The following is a 15,005-nucleotide window of genomic DNA, read 5'->3' on the forward strand; positions in this document are numbered from 1 at the left end:
CTTCCTCCTCCCACATTAGACCAGTAGCTAAGTCCTGTTAGACTTTACGCCCGTAACATTCTTCAAATGTAACCCAACAACTCTCTACCCTCTGCCTCCTTTAAATTCAAGCCCTCCTTGTTTCTCTTGGCCTCTTATTTCTCAGCATCTGATGACTAAGAATCTTAAAAAGAAGTTGTGTGCTGTTCTTCTACAACAGGGATTGAAGCCATCAACCCTTTGCTAAATAAAGTGAGTCAATTTGGTTTGATCCTCATTTTCTCATCCCAAACTCTTAGACATGGAATGTGTGTGGTGGTAAAGAACTCAACTGCTCTCCCCGATAATTTAATCTGCTGGAAAATTTCCAAGTAACTGGGGCAAATGTGTTTGAAAGTAATAACTATGCAATGTTAAGAGACAATCTGGACTCCAATTTTACTGTATTTGTCTCATTCAGCTGAATGTGGGAAAACATGCTGCTTTTTCTGTAGGCGGTGTTACCTTGCTCATCCTACACATTAACAAGCTGAGACCCAAGAAGTGAGAGCAACAAACAACACAACAAACCAGTAAGCTCAAGCAGCTGGAGTAAAGGAAAACGATATCATTCAGAGTTAGTTTCCTATGGACACAGAAACAACTCTCTCATTCTCCACCAACTAAAACTGTTGGCGCCTTTGGCAGGAATATACCCAAGTTCTTATGGTCTGTACTTAAATGCGACTGCCAATGAGGACTGTGAGTTCCAAACCTATGGTGTTCAGTGCTGGACAGAAACTAGAAAATCTCTGCTGTCTGAAACTCCAAAATCAGTTTTTACGAAAAGGATATCTTAGAAAGCATTAGTTCTTTCCTAATTACTCAGTGGGGAACAAAATTCCACAAAATCTGTGTAGAATCTCTGGATATTAATCAATACACTTGCAGAACTTGTTTAAGTAAACAAGACTGTTCTCATTGCATTTCAAGTTTGAACACCTGCTTGTGTTAACCTGGATTTTGGAAACAAGGCATCTACGCACACTATTTTATTTTAAACCAATTTACATATAGTGATAAATTTACTAAGAATGTGATACTTCTTCAAAATGAAGTGGTATTGCTAGGATGAACCATAAGAAACTGCTGCTATTCATCCATGTTGAGCTACAAAAATAACTTCCTATTAGTCAACCTAATGATTATCAGATGCTGCTAGCAACAATAGATTCCTAGGACTTCCCAGATGCAAAGGTTGTAAGGCAATGCCAAGGAAAATCTGCAATAAGAGAGTTTTTAAGGAATAACTTCTCAACCCAAACACCAAATGCTTTAAATGCAGATACATTAACAGCGCGTGAAGAGAGCCTCTTCTTACTCCTATCTACAGGACCCACATCAGATGATAAGCTCTGTAAGCAGAGGCCAGGTTTCACTCCCCACCCAGCATCCCCAACTCAGGTCCTGGCATACAGCAGATAACAGGAATTCACTGCTGAACATCGTACCAAGATATGCATTTCTGTGCTTGGTGAAAATATTAAGCTTAAAATAGTCATCTGCTCATCCTAGAAATGAAAATAATGACTATTTTCTCCAAGAATAAAATCATGTGTTCCTGGTAGTATTCTAGGAAACCACATTATTACTTGAGAATCAGATACTAAAAAAACTGATAACTATTGATCTCTTAACATTTCTAGTTCTGAAATTAGGTTTCTACTGTGCATTATATTGCAATAAATTAAAATTTGCCTATTTTGACTTGCTGCCTAATTTAAGCTCAGAGTAGAGTTGTAATGCCAGTATGGGGAGCACCCTTGGTACCCACTGGTAGGACAACATTCACTGAACTACAGAAGTGACTCCAGTTTCACTAGTTGTCCACTAATGTCCTTTCACTGCTCCGGATTCCACACTGCATTTACACATCTTGTCTCCTCAGCCTCCTCCAGCTGTTAAACAGCTTCTGGGTCTTATCTTTCATGACCTTGATATTTTTCAAGAGTAATCATCAGAATTCTGTAGAATGTCCCTCAATTTGGGTTTGACAGTTTTACTGGTACAGTGAATTTTTAAATGTGTCTTTAAAACTACTAACATCAACGAGACGGAAATTAAAATACTTGCAAATTATTCTTAGTAATTGAGGCACATATATCCCAGATTCCATTTTTGGCATAAAACATAGCTAATCCAAGTTTCACTAAAGATAATAAAACAATCTTTCAACAATTCAATGTGAATGTTAATTATAAATAATCTTCTACGAATATAAATAGAAAGGGAAAAAAAATCAGGTAAAACAAAATGATTTTTGGAGAAACAAATGTAGCCTGTTTATGGAAAAGCCAATGTTAACTGACTTAGCCATTCTATAGAGCTATTTCAGAAGAAACAAGAAACTGGTGTGAATTTCTAGCTAGCTGAAGTTTCACTGGCAATAGCTTTGAAGAAGGGACTGTCTAGACACCACCTAATTTGTATTATAGTTGTTACCCCCATGAGCATATGTTGGTACCATATTCCATAGAAGTTTCATGGCAATCAGTGCAATGTCCAAAGAATTTATGTCAAATGTGAAAAAACCTTGGGCTAAGGTTATGAATTCCTAAGCCAAATACACACTATTGGGTACACAAAATTACAGTGATTCCCTTATTAAAAAGGGCATGTGAGAAACCAGTTCTAAGAACCGTATTTATGAGCCACTCCATAAATCTGATGAATCCATAGCTAACAGTAGCTAAAAATTAATTCTATTTACATCAAAATCAGCAGCAATTGAATTGCTCAAAAAGCACATCTGTTATTTGGTTTTCTGGACTGGGTGTGATGGTTCACATCCGTAATCCCAGCACTTTGGGAGGCGGAGGCGGGTGGATGGCTTAAGTCAGGAGTTTGAGACCAGCCAGGGCAACATGGTAAAACCGTGTCTCTACAGAAAAAAATACAAAAATTAGCTGGGCATGGTGGTCCATGCCTGTAATCCCAGCTACTCAGGTGGCTAAGGCAGGAGAATTGCTTGAACCTGAGTGGCCGAGGCTGCAGTGAGCCAAGATCGCGCCAATGCACTCCAGCCTGGGCGACGGAGTGAGACCCTGTCTCTAAAAAAAAGGAAAAGAAGTTTTCTCAAGTCCCTCTAGTCATCCTTCCCTCCCATTCTTACAGAAGCCATTCCATCCAGGCCTTGATCATTGCACATCTCATCTTCCTTAATCACCTCCCAAGTCTTCTTGGTTCTTTTTGCTTTCAATCTGTGCTCCATGTTGCTGTCAAATTTATATTCTAGAATCCAAAAAGAGATCATACTGCACACTCTGCACTCTCTGCATACTCTACACACTCTGCAATGAGTCCCCAATCCCCCTCAACTCCTACCTCAGCATTTAAGCCCACACCAAGTGACTGCCCACAATGATCCCATATTGACTCTACTCAACCAAAACCCCCTTTCCTGTCTGACCTCTGTTTCCTAGACAGCCTAGAAACAGAGAGGGCTCGCTGTTTCTAGGGTGTGAGCCCTCTCTGGCTATCAGGGCTCGCTGTTTCTAGGGTGTGAGCCCTCTCTGGCCACCAGGAGTTATCTGATACCCAGGTACAGCTCAAGATGGCAGGAAAAAAAGCACATGGGCATCAGCAGCAAAGGCCAGGGCAATGGAAGCCTAAACGATAGCCTGGAAACATATCTTAAGATACCTGCACAAATTTCCTGCAGAGGAGGGTTTTTTTTAGGGGGGTGGGGATGGAGAGCAGTAGGGAAGGCATAACCAAGGAAAGAAACTTTCTAGCTTTTCAATTCTACTATCTTCTAAAGTCTTATCCTGTCTTCACACCTTTTGTTCACATTGTACTCAGTGTTCAGAAAGTGTCTCCCCTTATTTTACTCATCATATTGCTGTTATTCATTAAGTAGGATTTACCAAATGTTACTACGTGCCAGGTACAATGTCAAACAAAGGGTGTAGAGTGGAGACAGCAACAGATATTGTCTTTGCCCTCAACAATCTTAAAATATAGCGGAGGAAGGCAGATAAAATACAAACAAGTAACAAACTACATAATTAAAAATTGAGGCCAGGCACAGTGGCTCACGCCTGTAATCCCAGCACTTTGGGAGGCCAAGGTGGGTGGATCACTTGAGCTCAGGCGTTCGAGACCAGCCCAACCAACACAGTGAAACCCCATCTCTACTAAAAATAAAAAAATTAGCCAGGTGTGGTGGCAGGCACCTGTAGTCCCAGCTATTTGGGAGACTGAGGCAGAAGAATTGCTTGAACCGGGAGGAGGAGGTTGCAGCGAGTCGAGATCACGCCACTGCACTCCAGCATGGGCGATGGAGCAAGACTCTGTCTCAACAAAAAAAAAAAAAAAGAGAAAGTAGAATTAAAAATTAAGATACTAAACAGGGTCCCAAGATTGAAGGGAGTATTTTGCCATTTCCACTTTGCGTGGTGAGAAAAGAGTAGGAGAGGGAACATTGAAGCAGAGGTTCAGAAGGACCAGTCATGGAGGAGACAGGGCCAGTCCTCTACCGAACCTCTTTGGGCACCTGTCTCACTCTGGCTACACTCACACCATGGCACCTGTGACCTGTACCTGTGGTTCCGTTTTGAATATGGGGATCCTTTAAAAATCTAGAATGTATTGGACTCCTAAATGACAACAGTCACTCTTTTCCTAATTGTTTATACACATACAGATTTAAGGAGACTTTGCAATAATTCTGAGGCTTCATAAACCAGTGCTTCACAACTGAAAACCCCTGACCAATACTACTAATGTGACATAACCATCAACAGAACATTGGGTAGAGTACTCTTCTATCCAACAGCAATGTAAATTCACTAAAACTGTAGCTTACACTTGTTTGAATGTCTCCACTATCCTCCTCACTGCAGCACCCAGCAGGTTTACACACAGCAGCATCCCTTCCACTTAAGGGTCTTCCCATGCCTTCTCGGCTCCCACACCAAAAACATTCCAGGTCAAACTGAATCTCCCATTCTCCCAACTGCAAGAGTATGGGCCACCCACACCTAATAACTCTCTCGAAGGACACAATTGTGTCATTCTCTCTCATTCCCCTTCCACTGTGCCAAACTTCATTTAAAACTCTTTGTTCTCTTTCAAATCTGACTCAACCCACTCATGCCAATGGTCTGTGGGCTACTTGTAGACTGGGACAGTGTCTCGATCTGTAGTCCTGGCCTCAACCACACTAAATGGAGTATGCTCTGTTCCCTAATAATTCACTGTAGTATTTCACTAATAGATCAGGAAACTTGAATGAACACTGAAAAAGTCGAGCAGCATCACTAGAAAGAGAGCCTGAAATAAAGAGTATATTTTTCCTGTACTATTCTTAAATGCACGTCTTATTGCATTTCTAGAATGCATTGTGTTTTAAAGCCAACACCTTTATATCTATTTTTCCCATTAGATTATCAAGAAGCTATGTGAGAGAGGAAGGGATACTGTTACTTTCTGGACTCAGGGAAACAGTGACTAATCCTTACAGTCCTATTCTGGATGGGTTTGACAGAGAGCAGGACCCAGATATCTGAATACAGAGCTTTTGTCACAGATTGCATCTGATAAATTATACCAACACTCCGGCCCAATGATAATCAACATGACGTCGACAGTTCTCTCTCTTTTGGTCTTTCTAAGATTTAATCCTCTTATTAATCTCGTGTTAGAAATGGATTTTATCCCCATTTTACGGATGTGTAAACTGAAATACCAAAAGATGAAATAACTTATCCAAAGTTAGCTACATTTTCTCATAATGAGTATCTTCTCCTGCTTGGGCTTCAGCTGATGGGATGTAGAATAAGATCTTTGAAAAATAAAAAGTAAGAGCAGTAACATCCACTGTTGCTATGTGACAGGTACTGTGGTAAGTAATATATTTACTAATCTGTTAAATATTCACATCAACCCTACAAAATACTATTTTCTTCATTGTAGAAATAAGAAACCAGGCCCAAGACCCTGAGGCTAGAAAATGGCAGAGCTCATCTGAGCCAGACTCTGCCTTAACCCTAAAGTTTGTATCCCCTGCTGCGCTTGAAAATCTTGATGTGTGCTCTGGATTAGCTGGGGGAATCACACATTCAGAGTCCTCCCACCTCACTCCAAGGTGCTCTCCACGCTGGATATGGGAAGGATAAGAACTGAGGCTCTGCCAAAGCTACTAATGCGGGGAAGCATCCAAAGGGTTGAAACAAAAGACAGACCTTCAAAATGCACTAACATGCACGCACACACATACACACACACACACACACACACACACAATATTAATGATTCCACCACCACGATTATTTTACATATTGCTCCTTTTCTTCTGCATGTCAAAATATTTTAGCCTGTGAAGACCTAGATGACAGGAATAACTGTGCACATAACTTTTTTAGTTTTATGCTTAGCAGAGTATCAAACACAATTAAGAAGTAAAACCATGTTTTATGGGAGAAAGCTATACTAAAAACCTATTTGCCATTAATGTGACTAGAATAAATGTCAGCTTTTTAAATTATATATTTTACATGTAAGGAAGGAAACTACATTTTACTTTCCCAAAAGCAATTTACCACTGGGGAAAAGGTCTTGGCATAATTTTGTTATTTTATTATGATAAAGGAGACTCTAATTACCTTGACAGAATCCAGTAAACTCTTAGGAAAAAATCGCTTTAAACCAACATCTTTTCTGAAATATAAAAAGAAGCGTATTAACAAATAACACCACCAAATCAATTAATATGACAAACTTGCAAGAACATAAAAGCACTGTAAATTATTTATCCTTCCATATATTATTTAGGAAGGAAACAAGTATAATAATGCTTTAATTTACCAGTATATTCACAGGAAGGATGGGACAAATCATTTTCTAGATATGTACTGGAAACATGAATACAAGTTGGTTTAAATAGAAATCCTTTTGGTTTTTTCTTTTTTTACCTTTATTGTTGAAAACTCTTCTAAAATATTCCCTCTTTGTAAATTATAGTGTATTAAAAACTGTCCTTTTTCAGATATTTCTTGAAGGTTATAAACATCACTTCCAACTGGGTAATACTGTATTTGTAGAGAAAATAGCTAGCCTGATTAGTAAATGATTCAGGATATACCCGAGAAGTTACAGAAATAAATCCCTTAGGTTTATCCTAAAAGTTGACTATTTTTAAAAATAGACTTTTTTGATTAAGTGACTCATTCACTTGTCTCAGTTTCACATTAGGAAAAAACAAACAGATAAATTTATGCCCTAGGTAAAAAAGGTGAATTTATGGAAATGCTGGAAATCGCAGCAATGTTCTTTAAGTCAGGCAACAAAATTAAATTGATCATTATTATCAAGAACCTCAACGCTCTGGCCAAGAAAATAGGTTGGAAAGAATAGCTGATTCTTTTCCTAGTACTTTGGTTACTAACTTACTCAGATGTTTTGGCCACTAGGTGTCACTCGTGTGCTAGCAATGTGAAATAATGCCTCTGACGACATTAAGGAACGTCAGGAAACACATAAAAGGATCAAGGAGAAAAGGGAAATACAGGTATCTTTTCAGAATCACATACTATATCACATATAATAAACTGAATATAAAGTATCAAGAAACAGGGATGACTTCTTCATCCGTAACTGTTAAGTTAGCTGACGTTATAAACAAAACCAGAGACATCATGTCAGTTTATTTGGTTGATACTATATTCAAACATTTTAAATCCCTTATTCTATAATCTAACTGCTAGTAGTTCCTAAGCCAATGAATTCCTCCTCTGGTAAATTCGAAACTGGTCTCAGTTCTCATTCTTTCTTATTCTGATATTATGTTCATTACATCCTATAATTCTCTCTCAGCTTCTATGATATACTACTTTCTGGTTTTACCCATCAGTTAATTCATTTAACTACTGGTTTTACATTTCTGTCTCTAGCCACTTTTGTTTGTAACTTCCCTTCCTTACCTTTACAAAACCATCATTATCTATTTTGACAGTTGGATATGAAGGGGGGAAAAGAATCCACACAAGTTCCTCCTTTTCATTTTGCCTCCTAAAAACACAGGGTCTTTGCATTTTAAGAATTTTTATGCCAATCACTACGGAAAAGTAGCAAAATTAGTACACAAAAGACACACTCTGGAATCTACAAGGCAGTATTCTTGAGGATTTCTGCCTCTATCTACATTTTCAAGCCACTATTCCTTAACAGCAAGCATTTATTTTCATATCAGAGTGTTTGTTTTTTTGAGACTGAGTCTCGCTTTGTCACCCAGGCCAGAGTGCAGTAGCCAATCTCAGCTCACTGCACCCTCTGCCTCCCAGGCTTCGAGCGATTCTCGTGCCTCAGTATCCCAAGTAGCTGGGTTTACAGGCCTGCACTACCACGCCCAGCTATTTTTTGTATTTTTAGTAGAGATGGGGTCTCACCATGTTGGCCAGGCTGGTCTCGAACTCCTGACCTCAAGTGATCTGCCCGCTTCAGCCTCCCAAAGCGCTGGGATTACAGGCATGAGCCACTGCGCCCAGCCTCAGAGAGTTCTTAATTTGAATCTTGGCTCTGCCATAGGACAGACTTGCTGTTAACACCTGCGAACCTCCGGTTACTTGTAAAGTGGGGATGTGAACTCCTACTACCATGCAGTGGTGCTGAGGTTTAAGTAAGACTGTTTATGAAGTTCCTGGAATGTGAAGGGGGCAGTTTCTGTTCTGCCTTAGAAGAAAGCACTGCTGTCTGGACAGCTTCTGGTCCACATGCCCTGTGTCTCACTGTTTACTGCAGAGGGAGGCATGGCCTGACCTGAGGTTTGCTGGTGGACAGGAGAAGCGGTGAGAAGTGGTGAGATTGAGGGGCTACTGTGGACAAAGAGGCAACAGGGATGAGTGACTGGACATGAGGTGTGAGGGAATGCTGAAGCTACGCACCGAGAACAGAAAGGTGGGTGGGCATCAACAGTTCTGTTTTAGACATGTGAGGGCCTAAAACAGACCCATGGGCAAGGTGTACGTGCACGCCCTTCTAGTAGGGATTTCAAGAAGGCAACTGGCCATGTTTCAAGAAGGCAACACACACGTCAGTATTTGGGTGAGGGAAAGACCAGGGCAGGGAATATCCTCTCCGCCACTGTGTGGCTGTCAACTGCTATTAATCAACCCAGCTACACATCTATTTTTCTCAGAGCCAGGCATAACTAAAGAACTTACCATATTCATTGCTGTCACAAATAAGAAAGTTAAAGATAAACCAAAAGTGTTGTATGATTCAAGAAAAATGAAAGGAAGCATATGTTTTTTGAAAATAAAGACGAATACTAGGTATTGCTTTTACTTCAAAGGTGAAGACAACTCCATTAAAAAAAAAAGAAACCTGAAGGCTAATAATTAGCATATATACAGTTTAGGTTTTCTTAAACTTCTTTTGACTAATAATGAATTTGTAACGTTTGTCCATATGTTAGAACTTTTTTGATACCTGGCAGTTGAGAAAATAAAAATGAGGCTCAAGTACACAAGGTCATGGTAAAAATTCTGCAACGCTGCCTTTAACACATTTTAATTTAATCTCGAAATCAAACTACTTCAGGTTTTGTGATAGAGGACTCTGAGCCCACCTAAGGTACTATGTTCAAAGTTTTTAGGGAAAGCCTATTATAGATATCTAAATTTAAAGCCTTAGGAAACCAAACAGGGACTTGTAGGCTGTCCCATTTTTAATATGAGGTCGCCTCTCTCCATGATCTGTGTGTTTGGGACTGGTTTACAATGTGCACTCTAATCAGCAGTAGTTTTGCCTCAAGTGGCGTAAAAACCTTCTTTGAGCCCAAACTCTACACAACTGTCCTGTATGCGAATAAAACAACAAATACAACTTACACATCATCAACAAAATATAATTACTAACCTTTATCATACAATAATTCCTTACTATATTAACTGTCAAAGGATATGTCCTAAATGCATTTAAACTCATGTAATAAAAAACTAACTCACATGAAGCTTTTAGAATATTGCCAAACCCCAATTCCCAAACCCAAGCATCAGTTTATTAGATTCCCACATCAGTTCAGAGAAACCTCTTGAACCCATACACAGATGACAAGACACTAATATTAGGTTAGAACTGTGTTGTCCAATATACAACCGCTAGTGATATGTAGCTATTTATACTTACATTAGTTGAATTAAATTAAAAATTCTGTTCCCAACTGCAATGCTCATCACATTTCAAGTGATGAGCAGTCCCATGTGGCTAGAGGCTACCAAACTAGGTGGGGCAGTCACAGAACAGTTCCATTGTCGCAGAAAGCTGCAATGGGTGGGGCTGGGCCAGAGCAATGAATCTAGGACTTCAGCCACCCTCATTCTCTAGGGCTTGGTGCTGTGGGCCCAAAGGCTCCTCAGTAAGCACAGGGATGGGTGAAATGCATGAGCACTGGGAATAGGTGCAGAGTTACCACAGGGACAACCACTCAAGGTTCTTGCCTTGCTCAGAAAGACTGGGGAAAGAAGGTATAGAGGCATGAGGAGAGAGCTCTACCATGACAATGCAGAAGGCAGCAGATCTCACAGGAGACAGCTGTATGTTAAGAAGCCTTTCGTTGGGACTGCTTGTATATACATAGCAGAGGGCTTCTAAGTATTACCTTTCCTACTTCTCTCTCAGGACTAACAAAAACGGTTTCTATGATCTATTCACTAAGATTCAAATCATTTAGATTTGAAGCTACAAAGAAAAGAGAGGCTGTATTCATTTACTCCCTCACTGAGACCATATGACATACTAGGCACTATAACAGATCATGGGATAGAAAAATCGCTAATATGTTTCCTTTTCTTAAGTGAGATAATTACATAAACAACTAACTACAACACAGTGTGAAAGGTACTATAAGATAAGAGTTTAAAACCAATACACTTAGCCATCGAGATTTAAGGTTTTTCTGGCCAATTTTAAACAGAACTCTCTTAATGTTTAACTGACCTCTATCCTTTAAGTGAAAGATTTAGAACACTGCTGACTGATATGGTCTTCTTTCTCTTTTGCTAAACCTCAGAATCCCATTTAACACTCCACTGATTCCTGTTGCCATTTAGCATTTTTGGAAAATCCTTAGAGAGCTCTGCCCTCCCACATTCCTGCATGATGACTATGCACCTCCTCATATTCCTCCTTTCACACCACAGTGGCCATCCAGAATGCTGCAGGAAAAGAGGCTGTGTAGGAGGGCCTCTCCCCACCTGCACCAGCTGACTGCCATCAGCATTCCCCACTCACTGAGATGAATCCTCTAGGTGCCCATCTAGTCCCAGCCTGTGGCCTTATCCTGCACGTGTATTCATATCCACAAATTCATAACACAGCTGGCTTTTAGAAGCCTCAGATGGGAATCAACTTTCTTTACATATTAAAAAGAAACTAAGCTTATTATAAGCACATTTTTAAGTCAAGGATAAATTTATTTCTCTTCTGGCAATATTTCTGAGAAGATTCTTGTCTGTTGACCCTGTTTAATATTTTGTGAACATAATCCCTCAAATACTTAAAACCCAGGCAAAAATGCAGCCAAAACTAACTTCAAATATAACTTAAATAGGCATTTCCATGTAGTAACTCTTACTCTTTCTCCAAAACTGTCAGAATTGAGTATATTTAATTTAGAAATAGTATGGTGGTACTTTCACCTCTAAATTATACTCAAGCTTCTTAACAGACAAATGTTAAAATTATCTAACTGCAACAGAGATTGCTGTTTCTTAATGACATTCTCCCCTTCATCCTGGGGATGAAGTTGTCTTTTGGCCAGGTAAAGTGCTGCCTTCCCCAGTCTCTTCTGTAGCAGGTATGGCTATGCGACTATGTTTTCTCCTATGTCCCTCTAAGGGAAAGTATTAAACAGCAGGTTCATAAATAATGTCATTATTATGTAATGTTGTTTCATTATAGTGTTGATGAGAAAAAAAATTGATTCCCAGCTGGGCCACTATATGGAGTGTGCATGTTCTCCCTGTGTCTGTGTGGGGTTTCTATGGTTACTCCACTTTCCTCCCACATCCCAAAGATGTGCATGTTAGGGGAACTGGTGTGTCTGAATTGTCCCAGGATGAGTGAGTATGGGGTTGGGGGAGTGAGTACTCCCTGTGACGAGAATGGCATCCTGTCCAAGGCTGGCTCCTGACCTGCATCCTGAGCTGCTGGGATAGGGTCCAGCCACCCACGACCCTGAACTGGAATAACTGGGTAAATAATTATCTGGTTTTTTTTTTAATCAGACTTTTTAAAATGTATGCTTACATTTATTCCAATGTTTAATATTAGAAGTGTTTTGGGTCTCTACTTAGAAGCTGGGGATGTTTTTGTGACGAGAAACATTCCACAAGAACTTAACTCTTGTTTATATCAATTAGCCCACGGTAAAACTGGTTTCACTTTATGTCGTTTCACTTATAGTTTCCAGGAACCTATTGATGTTAAGTGAAGACTTACTGTATACACGTTTGTGTCCTTGAAAAGAAAAAGAGAATGCCCATCTCTTCCTCCTTCCTGGGGACTAGAATACATACGTGGTGATGAGTGATGTTCAGCAGCCTCTTAGGCTATGAGGTGGCTATGGATTACAAAATGGTAAAATTAAAGTAACCTGTAGCCCCAATGACTGAGAAACACTGATTGTCTATCACTTCTTTTATATAAGAGAAATAAACTTCTGTCTCAGTGAGGCAACCATCAATTCCTGCCAAATCTACCAGCACCTCCTTCTTTGATATTTATTATAAGTAGCTAAAGGATGCAATTGACTACTGTTGACAAGAAAAATGAAAACAAGTACAGCGATAACTAAGCTCAGCTAATTTTAAACCACAAATTTATCCATTCTAGAAATACCTATGGAATATCTTACAGATATCAGATACTATATAATGTGTGGGGAATACATTCCCCGCACAACAGAATGCAGCTCACATTCTCCATAGTGAAGAGAAACAACTATACAAACCACTATAGCAAAATATACTAAATGCAAAGATGATTAAAAACAAATTTCTAAAAAAAGGCAAACCACTTAATAAGGAATCAAGCAGAAATGAAAAGTTAGATGGTTCATTTAAAATAATTTCACATTATAGTTCTCTAATTTGGGGAATAATTACTGGAAAATAAGAGTCTTCCTTCTCTAATGCCATATTAGAAATCCTAATTTTAACACTGTATTGGTTTGTCAATATCAGCAATGTACTTTTAAAGGCTAACGAAAAACATTTTTCTTAAAACATTTGACCTCCTTTGGTAGCTGCCTTCTCTCCTCCTCACCTCTTATTTACAAATGATGTAAATAAAAGTCTTGTCTGTTTTGCACTCCAGTTGTTCCCTGTTGTGTGAGCCCACAGGAAGTAACGTACCAGGGACAGGGGTTGGGGGACTTCAGTGTCTTATACTTTTCCTTTGCCTACAAAAAAAGTACCTTGGTTCTTCCTAGATTGGAAAGACATGAAAAGAAAGACTGATGAACTCTCTAGTTGGTTTAAAGAAAAAACCCTTAAGCTTCTAGATGTATTTGTCACACTCTCAGAAACTATGCCTTAGTGGTAGTAGTAGTACTAGTATAACTCAAAATAGTTATTTATGGCTGGGCGTGGTGACTCACACCTGTAATCCCAGCACTTTGGGAGGCCAACGCGGGTGGATCACTTGAGGTCAGGCATTCAAGACCAGCCTGGCCAACATGATGAAACCCCATCGCTACTAAAAATAAAAAAATTAGCTGGGCGTGGTGGTGCACACCTGTAATCCCTGATACTTGGGTGGCTGAGGTAGGAGAATCACTTGCACCTGGGAGGTGGAGGTTACACTGGGCTGAGATCATGCCACTGCACTCTAGCCTGGGCAACAGAGAGAGACTCTGTCTCAAACAAACAAACAAAAACAAAAAAAGTCATTTAGAAATACAGTAAAGCAGCTGGGCACGGTGGCTTACACCTGTAATCCTAGCACTTTAGAAGGCCGATGCGGGCTGATCACTTGAGGTCAGGAGTTCAAAATCAGCCTGGCCAACATGGTAAAACCCCATCTCTACTAAAAATACAAAAAAAATTAGCCGGGCACAGTGGTGGGCACCTGCAATCCCAGCTACTTAGGAGGCTGAGGCAGGAGAATTGCTTGAATCCAGGAGGAGGAGGTTGCTGCAAGCCGAGGTCACGCCACTGCACTCCAGCCTGGGCAACAGAGCAAGACTCCATCTCAAAAAAAAAAGTACAGTAAAGCTGAAAGGGCATTGTGCATTAGGCTGTAAACAACTGAGTTTGACTTTAAAATTCCTGCCGGAATCTAATAAATTATGTGGAACATATCATGAGTTTTCTTATTAGAAAGGAAAAAGAGAACCATGAAATGAACTAATAAGAAACAAGCAGTATTCTGTATTCATGTATAATTCCTTTCTGTACCGAAGAAATATAAATTTCTAAATGGCTCCAAGTTACTAGCCAAAACCAATAGGAAAAAGAAATGCCAACACACTCCTTGAGAGAGCTGCTGGGGTTCCCAGTTGCTCCTGTGGTAGAACAGCCATGGTGTGTGCATGCGAGTCCCTGCACATCCTCTCAGCCAGGCCACTCCTAAAGCACTGGCATCAGCCTTTACAATGGCCAAATGCAATATTGTTAAGTATCTTTATTATATAAAATGTAACCAGGTTAATAGTTACATTTTCTCTGTTAAGCTATTATCGGGCCAGATATGGTGACTCATACCTATAATCTCAGCACATTGGGAGGCCAAAGTGGGAAGATTGCTTGACCAGCATCTGTTAAGCTACCTTTCAAGAACAAGGGTGAAATTTTTTAAAAAGAGACAGATTTAAAAACAGAATTTTATTATCAAAAACTACATATTAAAAACTTCTAGGCCGGGCGCGGTGGCTCACGCTTGTAAGCCCAGCACTTTGGGAGGCCGAGGCGGGCGGATCACAAGGTCAGGAGATCGAGACCATCCTGGCTAACATGGTGAAATCCCGTCTCTACTAAAAATACAAA

At 39.8% G+C, this 15,005-nt stretch overlaps 1 protein-coding gene across 173 annotated transcripts in view; it reads right to left on the minus strand.

The window, feature by feature from the left end:
• PTK2 (protein tyrosine kinase 2) overlaps positions 1 to 15,005 on the minus strand; it is a 344,180-nt gene that overhangs the window by 165,949 nt on the left and 163,226 nt on the right. For 167 of the 173 annotated variants that reach the window (NR_148039.2, NR_148038.2, NR_148036.2 and 164 more), the window contains one exon: positions 6,624 to 6,678. The exons of the other annotated variants lie outside the window; for them this stretch is intronic. Coding sequence is in view for 159 of the 167 variants with exons in the window: in NM_001352699.2 (NP_001339628.1) it covers positions 6,624 to 6,678 (55 nt within the window). In the remaining 8 variants the exon portion in view is untranslated. The remainder of the gene's footprint in view (positions 1 to 6,623; positions 6,679 to 15,005) is intronic. 173 annotated transcript variants of the gene reach the window in all.

This window comes from Homo sapiens, chromosome 8, assembly GCF_000001405.40.
Source record: "Homo sapiens chromosome 8, GRCh38.p14 Primary Assembly".
NCBI lineage: Eukaryota > Metazoa > Chordata > Mammalia > Primates > Hominidae > Homo > Homo sapiens.